The sequence below is a fragment of the Homo sapiens genome, chromosome 15 (genome assembly GCF_000001405.40).
Source record: "Homo sapiens chromosome 15, GRCh38.p14 Primary Assembly".
In the NCBI taxonomy this organism is placed as follows: Eukaryota; Metazoa; Chordata; class Mammalia; order Primates; family Hominidae; genus Homo; species Homo sapiens.
In genome coordinates this window covers 64,830,122-64,841,759 of record NC_000015.10, presented here as the reverse complement: position 1 = coordinate 64,841,759, position 11,638 = coordinate 64,830,122, and the positions used below count along the sequence as shown (strand labels likewise).

Here is an 11,638-nt window from a genome sequence, read left to right as displayed (position 1 = left end):
TGGAGACTGGACGGAGGAGCCGGGCGGAGATGCAACTGGAGGAAGAGGGCGGGACGGGGCGGAGAAGGTTTCCCGCATCGGCGGAGGGAGAGGGACTAGGAGGGGGCTGCGGCGGGGGAGGAGAGGGGGCTTCCGGCCCAGAGACTGAGGCGAGGGTGGCGGGAGCGGCGCGCAGGCAGGGCTGGGGTGGGGCGCACACAGTGAGCGCTGGGGGCGCTGGCGGTGGAGCCTTTGAGGTCTCCCGAACCAGTGGGCTGGGGTTGCGAGACCGAGCCGAGCTGCCCTGGGCGGCCAGAGATGTGGGCACACAGAGGCTCCTCCTCTTTCCTCCCCGACGCCGGGCAGTGGGCGGTGGCCTGGTCTTCTCCCTGGAACCTCTGGGCGGGGCCGGGCCTGGAGCTTGGGTCTCTGTCCGGAGGGTGGTGTCACAGGAAGAGCTGGAGCTGAGAGTCGGGACTCCGGGGTCCCTTTAGGGGGCGGCCCGCCCCTGGCTCTCAGGGGTCTCCAAGCGCAGTGTTCTCCTGCTCTCCTTGGGCATCGCTCAATCCCTCCCGTATCTGAGGGTCGACCATCCCCCCGATCCCGCGGTGAGCTTGCAGCCCTGACAGCCTTACTGGAGAGTGGGAGTGTGGGGACCAGCAGAGAGTAATGATTTTAGTTATACCATGCGCCCTCATTTTACATTGGAGAAACTGAGGCCCAGAGAGAGAAAGTAACTGGCTGCATCGCAGCCTGCAGCACCGCTCCCCTCTCACACACACACGCATACTCCCCCTTAGCTCTCCTGGTCAACCCCGTCCCATGCCAAGGAAGGGAAAATTAAGTGCATGTGAGATCAATGGTGACCTTCTTCGGCTCTGGCTGCCATAGCAGCGGCTGTGCCAGCGACCAAGCTCCCCTTTCACGGCCTTCTGCCAGCCCTCAGGCTCCCAGGCTACTTCCAGCCCTGTACGGAAAAGGGCAGCCTGGGGCTCCCAGGCCAAGGGGGAAGGAGATGCAGGTACACTTCTCCCTCATGCCTAGGCCTGGGATCCTTTAGCTAAAGGAATGAAGAAAATTGAGGCTGATATTATCACACTGGTCAAGAAAAAGAAAGAATAGAAAAGAAAGAGAGAGGAAGGAGAGAGAGAGGAAGGAGGGAGGGAAGGAAGGAAAAAAGGAAAGAAAGAAAAAGAAAAGAAAGAGAAATGAAGGAAGGAAAGAAAGAAAAGAAACAAGGAAGGAGAGAGGAAGGAAGGACGGAGGGAAGGAAGGAAAGAAAAGAAAGAGCTGGGAGCGGTGGCTCACACCTGTAATCCCAGCACTTTGGGAGGCTGAGGCAGGCTGATCACCTGAGGTCGGGAGTTCAGACCAACCTGACCAACGTGGAGAAACCCCGTCTCTACTAAAAATAGAAAATTAGCCAGGCGAGGTGGTGCATCCCTGTAATCCCAGCTACTTGAGCGGCTGAGGCAGGAGAATCGCTTGAGCCCGAAAGGCGGAGGTTGCAGTGAGCTGAGATCACGCCATTGCACTCCAGTCTGGGCAACAGGAGTGAAACTCTGTCAAAAAAAAAAAGGGAGAGAGAGAGAAGGGAGGGAGGGAGGGACGCAAGGAGGGAAAAGAGAAAGAAAGAGAAAGAAAGAAAGGAAAGAAAAAGAGAGAAAGAAAGGAAGGAAGGAAAGATGAAGGAAAATTGAGGCTGAGGATCTGAGATAGTCTGTATATGTAGCAACCTCTTTCGGCCACCACATGGTTTTACTCCCTCAATCTGCAGAGCTGTGCAGCATTCTACTCCAATGATCAAGGACTCAGAAGATCTTGTATCTGGAAACTCATGCTCCACCTGCAGCAGACCAGAGACCCTGGGGAAATTCATTTTGTTACACAGAAGCAGCCCTTTGTAGGGAGAGAGCAGTGAGGACAGGTTGGTTTGACATCCAAATAGTTCTGTCATTTTGGGGAATGAGCCATTGAGAACTACTCTGGCCTCAGTTTCCCCATCTAGCTCAAAAAACCCTCTGGTTTTGCCTCTATACTGTGTGCTTTCATTCAACACATATTTTATTTTCTTTGTCTGTCAGTCCCTACAATAGTGGCTGGGAGATAATGGCAGAGCTCAGGATCCCTGTCCTCTACTGGGGAGAAAGGCATGTAAGAAGATGAGAATGCCGAGTGTTAAATGAGAAGGTAAATGCACAGAGAAGGGGCACCAGAACCAGGACAAAGGGGTAGGACAGGCATTCTAGGGAGAGGGGACAGCGTGTAATCAATGGCATGGAGGCATGAACAGCACAGCATGTGTATGTAGGGCGGCCAGTCTGGAAAAGCAGACAGCTTTGTGCAGAGAGGGCCTTGTAGGTTGTGTGGAGGAGACCACATTTTAACCTCAGGGCAATGGGAAGTCATTGAAGGTTTGGGAGGTGTGGGGGTCTGTTTTGTGTGTGTACCATTTAATCATTCTGCAAAGTGTACTGAGTGCCCCTTAAGTGGGGGTGCTTTCTAAGGCATCATCCTACAATTATTCACTGAAAAGAATGTAAGGCCCCCTGTTATCTACTCAGTATTCTAAACTCTCCCTATATCTCATTTAATCCTCACGAAAGTATCCATGAAATAGATACAATTGTTATCCTCATTGAACAGATCAGGAACCTGAGGCTTGAAGAAGTTAGATGACCTGGTTAAGGCCACTTGACTGGATTCAAACCCTGCCTGACTCCACATGACTCCTTTGGGCAGCATCGTGTGACCACACCACGTAAGATCTAGGTCCTGCCTTGGAGAGCTGATGAACCAAACCAGCAGGAAGGTAGACAAGTCCTGATAAGGACACTTAAAAAAATAATAATATGGGTCTTGCTCCGTCACTCAGGTTGGAGTGCAGTGGTGCAATCACAGCTCAGTGCAGTCTCAACCTCCCAGGCTCAAGTAATCCTCCCACCTTGGCCTCCCAAAGTGCTGGGATTATAGACCTCAGACATGGTACCCAGCCCTGAGAAGGACTTTGATGAAAAAGTACATGGTGTGTGGTGAGAGTGGCTCCCAGAGGAGGGGTTGAGTTGTATTCCAGCAGGGTTAGTTGGATAGGGGCGGAGGGAAAGTTCAGGACAAGAGAACATCTCACAAAAGTGAGAACTTGTAGAATATCCTGACTTGTTAGGTGAATTGTAGGCAGTCTTTATGTGGTCATATGTGTTGGGGGCAGGATGGGGAAGGCGAATTCGGTCAGATGCCGCCAACGAGGCAGCAGGAGCCAGAGCACTAAAGGCCTTGAGTGCTGACCTAAGGGATTGAAATTCCTCCTGCAAGTAGCAGGGGGCTACTGAAGCTTGAAGTGAGGTATGACACAATCTCATTTTCATCTTACAAGCTCATTTTCATGACTGCAATATGGGCAAGAAAGACAGGGTAGTCCATTGAGTAGATTATTCCAGAAATCCAAGTTGGATGTAATGCAACTTGCTGAACCACTGAACCAGAGCAGTGGTTACGAAGATGTGGAGGATAGATTCAAGAGCTAGAAAAGAGATAGAGGGATCAGGACTTGGAGTGGTTTCTTTATTCATTGATTCGTCCATTCAAAAAATACCTGTTGTGGCTGGGTGTGGTGGCTCACACCTATAATCCCAGCAATTTGGGAGGCCGAGGCAGGTGGATCACCTGAGGTCAGGAGTTCAAGACCAGCCTGGCCAAGATGGTGAAACCCCGTCTCTACTAAAAATATAAAAATTAGCCAGGCGTGGTGGCAGGCACCTGTAATCCCAGCTACTTGGGAGGCTGAGGCAGAGAACTGCTTGAACCCGGAAGGTGGAGGTTGCAATGAGCCGAGATCGCACCACTGCACTCCAGCCTGGGCGACAGAGTGAGATTCCGTCTAAAAAAAAAAAAAAAATAGAAACTGGGGGAGCCCATTTTTAGATATGGTATGTGTGGTGGGGGAAGCCTTTCTGAAGAGTGGATATTTCAGCTGAGACCTAAATGATGACAAAAAAGACAGCCACACAAAGAGGTGGGGAGGAAGGGGGAGGGCATTTCCTGCAAAGGGAAGAGCAAGTGCAAAGACTCTGGCACAAGAAAGGGCTTTGGGTATTATGAAACATCAAGGAGGCCAGTGTGACAGAAGCTTAGTGAGCAAGGGAGAGCAGTAGGCTTGAGGTCACGGTGCACAGAAGGGGAATTGACTTCAGGCTATGGTAAGGACTGTGGGTTTTATTCTAAGATGAATAGTCTTAGGGAGGCATTGAGGGCTTTTAACTACACCAGCTGCAAAATCTGATTTATACGTCTTAAAAGACCCTACCTTCCAACCTGGGCAACTTAGTGAGCCTCTATCTCTACAAAAAAAATTTTTAAATAAATTAGCCAGGCATGGTGCTGCACACCTTTTAGTCCCAGCTATTTATGAGGCTGAGGCAGGAGGATCGCGTAAGGCCAGGAGTTGGAGACTGCAGTGAGCTACAAGTGCCAGCCTGAGTGACAGAGCAAGACCTTGTTAAAAAAAAAAAAAAAAAAAAAAAAGAGGTCCAGCACTGTGACTCACACCTGTAATCCCAGCACTTTGGGAGGCCGAGGTGGATGGATCACCTGAGGTCGGGAGTTCGAGGCCAGCCTGACCAACATGGAGAAACCCCATCTCTACTAAAAATACAAAATTAGCCAGGTGTGGTGGCGCATGATTGTAATCCCAGCTACTCGGGAGGCTGAGGCAGGAGAATTGCTTGAACCCAGGAGGAGGAGGTTGTGGTAAGCCAAGATTGCACCATTGCACTCCAGCCTGGGCAACAAGAGCAAAACTCCGTCTCAAAAAAAAAAAAAAAAAAAGAAAGAAAATAAAAAAGACAAGAAACATCGGGTTTCAATGGTGGGTTGGATGTGGCAGTTGAAGAAACAAATCAGGGATATGGCGTGGGTTTTTAAATTGAGCCCAAAATGGTGGTGCCATTTACTGAGATGATAAAGAAAGGAGGAAAACAGGCGTATATGGTACTGGGGAAGGAGATTAAAACCTCTGTTTTGGAGAAAGTGAATCTGACATGCCTATTGGCATCCATGTGGAAATCTCAGGAAGACAAATGGGGATATTGTTTGGTGTTCTGGGAAGAAGGGCAGGCTGGAGATAGAATATTGGGAATCATCATGTAGTTGATAATTGAGTCACCAAAGAAGGAAGGAAAGAGGGAGGGAGGGAGAGATGGAGGGAAGGAAGGAAGGAAAGAGGGAGGGAGGGAGGGAAGGAAGAGAGAGAGGATCAGTGAGAGGTCTAATGAGGAAGAGGTGTTAGCAAAGGAGGTTAACATGGAGCAGCCAGTAGACAGGAAGAAACGAGGGGAGTGTGAAGTCGTGGAAGTTAAGAGAGGATCAGCTGTATGAGAGGTTCAACAAAATGAGTGTCCGCTGCCCGGTGATGACAGTGCAAGGTGCCGTCCTGCTCTGGAAACTGGAAGACAGTAAAATAAATACCGTTTCCCGTTCAGCTCTTCTACAGACTGTCCTTGTAAGCTTCGGGCTGCGAAAGCGGGAGGGCAAAAAGCTTGGAGAGAAAGGGTCCTAAGGTGGAAGGGACGGGGCCTTTTGAGTAGTATCACATGAGATAATGCCAAAAATGCATTTTATAACCCCCTCTGTGCTAATGTCATTGTAGCTATTATTAATGAGCCAGGGACTGAACTGAGACCTCTCAATGACAGCGAGCAGATAAGACGTGTGGAAGGATATTCCGAGGAGGAAATTTCAAAATGAAGAAAACCCTTTCCTCTTGAGATCTTGCCTCCAAACCAGGCTTTGGGTTGGGCGAGATCCGAGAGCAGCGTTGCACCTCAATCCAGACTGACCTCACGGCGGCAGCAGGGAGCAGAGTGTCGGGCGGATGCCCAGAACCGCCCGAAGCCGAAGGGGAGGAAGTACAGCCCCAGGAGGTAGGGCTCCCTCTGGCCTCGCCTCCCTACGCCGCGGGCCAATCAGGATGCAGCTGGTAGGCCCACGGCGCGTGGAGCGGGGAGGAGCGAAGACCCGAGGACCTTTAATCCACCACCAGGCAGTGTCTAGTTACATGTTCGATACCTTTCCCTTCAGGGACTTTGTTGCTCAGACAAAATCCTGTGTGGGGAGTACAACCACTTTGAAGAAAGATCTCACAGTTTCATATGAAACTAAATATACAACTACTCTATGACCCAGAATTTCTCACCTAGGTATTTATTCAAAATAAATTAAAACATAAATCCAGGCCGGGCGCGGTGGCTCACGCCCGTAATCCTAGCACTTGGGGAGGCCGAGGTGGGTGGATCACTTGTAACGAGCTCGAGACCAGCCTGGGCGACATGGCGAAACCCCGTTTCTACTAAAAATACAAAAAAATAGCCGGGCGTGGTGGCAAGCGCCTGTAGTCCCAGCTACTCCGGAGGCTGAGGCACGAGAATGGCGTGAACCCGGGAGGCGAAGGTTGCAGTGGGCCGAGATCGCGCCACTGCACTCCAGCCTGGGCGACAGAGCAAGACTCCGTCTCAAATTAAAACATACATCCAGCCGGGCGCGGTGGCTCACGCCTGTAATTCCAACACTTTGGGAAGCAGAGGCGGGCGGATCACCCGAGGTAGGGAGTTCGAGGCCAGTCTGACCAAAACGGTGAAACCCCGTCTCTACTAAAAATACAAAAAATTAGCCGGGCGTGGTGGCACGTGCCTGTAGTCCCAGCTACTCGGGAGGCTGAGGCAGGTGAATCACTTGAACCTGGAAGGCAGAGGTTGCAGTGGGCCGAGATCACGCCACTGCACTCCAGCCTGGGCGAGAGAGCGAGACTCCGTCTCAAAAAAAAAAAAAAAAAAAAAAAAAGATGCTAGAACAAGCTAAACTAATCCATGGTTAAAAATAAAATCAGAACAGAGGTTGTCTAAGGACTGAGAGTGGGGATTGACTGAGAAGGGGCACAAAGGAAGTTTCTAGGTGATGATAATGTTCTTACAATTTCATGCAGTGGAGGAGACTGTCCCCTATCTGTGCTATCCAATGTAATAGCCACTAACCACATGTGGCAATTGAGCACTGGATTTGAGTTTCACTTAGTTTTAATTGATTTAAGTTTAAATTAAAATAGCCACATGTGGCTAGTGGCCACTGTATTGGACAGCACAGTTGTAAATCCTGATAGGGGTTTGGGCTACACAGGTATATTAATTTGCAAAGGTCTTCTAATGATACTCCTAAGACTTATGTGTTTCACTGTATGTGAAGTTTACATTAAACATGTAAACATGGTCCAGCATGGTGGCTCAAGCCTATAATCCTAGCACTTTGGGAGGCCAAGGTGGGCGGTTTGGTTAAGCTCATGAGTTTGAGACCAGCCTGGGCAGCATAGTGAGACCTTGTCTCTACAAAAAATACAAAAGTTAGCTGGGCATGGTGGTGTGTGCCTGTAATCCCAGCTACTTGGGAGGCTGAGGTGGGAGGTTGGCTTGAGCCCAGAAGGCAGAGGTTGCAGTGAGTGAAGATCTTGCCACTGCACTCCAGCCTGTGCAACAGAGCCAGACCCTCTCTCAAAAAAAAAAAAAAAAAAAAAAAAAAATGCTAGGCACAGTGACTAATGCCTGTAATCCCAGCACTTTGGGAGGCCGACGCGGGTGGATCGCAAGGTCAGGGGTTCGAAACCAGCCTGGCCAACATGGTGAAACCCAGTCTCTACTAAAAATACAAAAATTAGCTGGGCGTGGTGGCAGGCATTTGTAATCCCAGCTACTTGGGAGGCCAAGGCAGTAGATTGGTTTGAACCCAGGAGATGGAGGTTGCAGTGAGCCGAGATCGCGCCATTGCACTCCAGTCTGGATGACAGGACAAGACTCTGTCTCAAAAAAAAAAAAAAAAGTAAACATAGCCAGGCATGCACCTGTTGCCCCAGTGACTAGACAGGCTGAGCCCAGAGGGTCACTTGAGCCCAAGTATTTGAGTCCAGCCTGGCAGCAGAGTGAGACTCTGTCTCTAAAAAGATTTTTAAATGTAATTCATTATTATTTTTCTATGAGACAGAGTCTTACTCTGTTGTCCAGGCTGGAGTGCAATGGTATCATCACAGCTCACTGCAGCATTGACCTCCTGGGTTCAAGTCATCCTCTAGCCTCAGCCTCCCAAGTAGCTGGGACCATAGGCATGTGCAACCACGTCCAGCTATTTTTTTTTTTTTTAATTTTTGTAGAGATGGGGGTCTCACCTGGATTCCCAGGCTGGTCAGTAACTCCTGGGCTCAAGTGCCTTGACCTGCCTTGACCTCCCAAAGTGCTGGGATTACTGGCATGAGCTACAACACCTGGCCTTTTTACTTTTAGAAATAAAAAAAAAAAAAAAAGCTGAGCTTGGTGGCTCATGCCTGTAATCTCAGCACTTTGGGAGGTCGAGGTGGCCAGATCACCTGAGGTCAAGAGTTCAAGACCAGCCTAGCCAACAGGATGAAACACGGTCTCTGCTAAAAATACAAGGGTCAGGTGCAGTGGCTCACGCCTGTAATCCCAGCACTTTGGGAGGCCGAGGTGGGTGGATCACGAGATCAGGAGATGGAGACCATCCTGGCTAACACGGTGAAACCCCGTCTCTACTAAAAATACAAAAAATTAGCTGGGCATGGTGGCAGGAGCTTATAGTCCCAGCTACTCGGGAGGCTAAGGCAGGAGAATGGCATGAACCCAGGAGGTGGAGCTTGCAGTGAACCCAGATTGTGCCACTGCACTCCAGCTTGGGTGACAGAGCAAGACTCCGTCTCAAAAAAAAAAAAAAAAAAAAAAAAACAAGAGCAAAACTCTGTCTCAAACAAAAACAACAAAAAAATTGTTTTTTTGAGATAAAGCCTGGTTCTGTCACCCAAGCTGGAGTGCAGTGGCCAGATCTCAGCTCACTGCATCCTCCGCCTCTGGGATTCAAGCGATTCTTCTGCCTCAGCCTCCCTAGTAGCTGGGATTACAGGTACACGCCACCACGCCTGGCTAATTTTTGTATTTTTAGTACAGACAGGATTTCACCATATTGGCCAGGCTGGTCTCGAACTCCTGACCTCGTGATCCGCCGGCCTTGGCCTCCCAAAGTGCTGGGATTACAGGTGTGAGCCGCCGTGCAGGACACGAACAAAAAAATTTTTTAAAAAGATAAACATGGCTGGGCGCGGTGGCTCACGCCTGTCATCCCAGCACTTTGGGAGGCCGAAACGGGTGGATCACTTGTAAGGAGCTCAAGACCACGGTGAAACCCCGTGTCTGTTAAAAATACAAAAAAATTAGCTGGGCGTGGTGGCGGGCGCCTGCAGTCCCAGCTACTCCGGAGGCTGAGGCAGGAGAATGGTGTGAACCCGGGAGGCGGAGCTTGCAGTGAGCTGAGATCGCACCATTGCACTCCAGCCTGGGAGACAGAGCGAGACTCCGTCTCAAAAAAAAAAAAAAGATAAACATAAACTCTGGTTAATGCTATGCATGCTAAAGAGTTAGAAGTGAAATATACTCATCTCTGTAGCTTTGAAGTACATAACAAAGAGATGGGTAGATGTATGGATGTGATAAAACAAATACTGCAAAATATTGTAGATTGGTGATGAATGTATCAATGTTCACTGTACAATTCGTTCGCTCTTTCTGTATATGCTTGGATTTTTGTTTGTTTGCTTGCTTTTTTTTTTTTTTTTTTTTTTTGAGACAGAGTCTCGCTCTGTCACCAGGCTGGAGGGCGGTGGTGTGATCTCAACTTACTGCAACCTTCACTTCCGGGGTTCAAGCGATTTTCCTGCCTCAGCCTCCCAGGTAGCTGGGACTACAGGTGTGCACCACCACGCCCAGCTAATTTTTGTATTTTTAGTAGAGACGGGGTTTCACCATGTTGGCCAGGATGGTCTCCATCTCTTGACCTCATGATCTGCCCACCTCGGCCTCCCAAAGTGCTAGGATTACAGGCGTGAGCCACCGTGCCTGGCCTGGATATTTTCATAATAAAATGAGAGAACTAAAGTGTGAGAGGAAGTAGGAATGATGAGTTATTGCCTAATGGATGAAGTTTCATTTTTTTCTTCTCTTTGAGATGGGGTCTCGCTCCATCACCTAGGCTGGAGTGCAGTGGCGTGATCTCGGCTCACTACAACATCCACCTCCCGGGTTCACGCCATTCTCCTGTCTCAGCCTCCTGAGTAGTTGGGACTACAGGTGCCCACCACCACCCCCGGCAAATTTTTGTATTTTTAGTAGAGATGGGGTTTCACTTTGTTGGTCAGGCTGGCCTCAAACTCCTGACCTCAGGTAATCCACCCGCCTTGGCCTCCCCAAGTGCTGGGATTATAGGCGTGAGCTACCACGCCTGAACTGGATGAAGTTTCTATGTGAAATAATGAAAACATTCAAAAATAAATTGTGGGGGAAAGTGAAAAAATAAATAAATAAATTGTGGCCAGGTGCAGTGGCTCATGCCTGTAATCCCAGCACTTGGGGAGGCCGAGGCAGGTGGACCGCCTGAGGTCGGGAGATCGAGACCAGCCTGGCCAGCATAGTGAAACCCCGTCTCTACTAAAAATACAAAAATTAGCCGGGCGTGGTGGCAGGCAGGTGTAGTCCCAGCTACTCGGGAATCGGAGGCAGGAGAATCGCTTGAACCCAGGAGGCAGGGGTTGCAGTGAGCCGAGATCGTGCCATTGTACTCTAGCCTGAGCAGCAGAGTGAGACTTTGTCTCAAAATAAATAAATAAATTAATTAATTAATTAAATTGTGGTGATGGTTATACATTTGGAATGTACTTAATGCCATGAATTATACACTTAAAAATAATTAAAACGATAAATGTCGTGTATATTTTTCCACAATTGTTTTTAAAAAGTTTGAAAGCCAAGGCCGGGCGCGATGGCTCACGCCTGTAATCCCAGCACTTTGGGAGGCAGAGGCGGGCAGATCACGAGGTCAGGAGATCGAGACCATCCTGGCTAACACGGTGAAACCCCGTCTCTACTAAAAATACAAAAAATTAGCTGGGCGTAGTGGCGGGCGCCTGTAGTCCCAGCTACTCGGGAGGCTGAGGCAGGAGAATGGCGTGAACCCGGGAGGCGGAGCTTGCAGTGAGCCGTGATTGCGCCACTGCACTCCAGCCTGGGCGACAGAGCGAGACTGTCTCAAAAAAAGAAAAAAAAAAAGTTTGAAAGCCAAAACAAAAAAAAACATATTAAGAGAAAATCCATTGGGACATTCTGGTGCCTTCCCTTGAAGCAGTCTGGGGTATTGCACACAGAATCAGGGTAAGGGATTTGGCTTCCCCTGTGTGTAAGTGCGCTAGGCCCATTGTAAGCAGAGAGCAGTGGAAAGAGAGAACACAGGCTTTGGAAACAGACCTGGGTTCATAATCCCAGCTCTTTCATTTTCTCTCTATGTGGCTGTATTTGTTTCTTATTTCTATGGCTGCTATAACAAATTATCATACATTTAGTGGCTTAAAACAACAAAAATTTATCATCTTGTCATTCTGGAAGCCAGGAGTCTGAAATGTGTCCTACTGTACTAAAATCAAAAGCTGTTTTTCTTCTGGAGACTCCAGGAGATAATCCATTTCCCTGCCCTTTCCAGCTTCTAGAGAGCTCCTGCCTTCCTTGGTTTAGTCTGTGGCCCTTGCCTCCAACCTCAAAGCCAGCAGTAACATCTTCACGTCTCTCTT

General features: G+C 49.1%; 1 long non-coding RNA gene across 3 annotated transcripts, besides 2 other annotated features; it reads left to right on the top strand.

Annotated features, from left to right (window-relative positions):
- Positions 3-322: a silencer, noted in NCBI's record as "silent region_6540". NCBI's record gives its function as "represses an Ori minimal core promoter by ATAC-STARR-seq in GM12878 lymphoblastoid cells {active_cell/tissue: GM12878}" and the evidence as "EXISTENCE:reporter gene assay evidence [ECO:0000049][PMID:35858748]".
- Positions 339-5,827, top strand: LOC124903508 (uncharacterized). 3 transcript variants are annotated; one of them, XR_007064681.1, is made up of 4 exons: positions 339-587; positions 1,757-1,906; positions 2,064-2,169; positions 2,626-2,840. It is a non-coding gene; the product is annotated as an uncharacterized LOC124903508 (long non-coding RNA). The 3 variants fall into 3 exon arrangements; XR_007064682.1 differs by lacking the exon at positions 339-587 and adding an exon at positions 5,624-5,827 and having other exon boundaries at positions 1,604-1,906; positions 2,626-2,740; XR_007064680.1 differs by lacking the exon at positions 339-587 and having other exon boundaries at positions 1,604-1,906.
- Positions 4,127-4,226: an enhancer, noted in NCBI's record as "active region_9579". NCBI's record gives its function as "activates an Ori minimal core promoter by ATAC-STARR-seq in GM12878 lymphoblastoid cells {active_cell/tissue: GM12878}" and the evidence as "EXISTENCE:reporter gene assay evidence [ECO:0000049][PMID:35858748]".
- Positions 5,828-11,638: the final 5,811 nt, after the last annotated feature.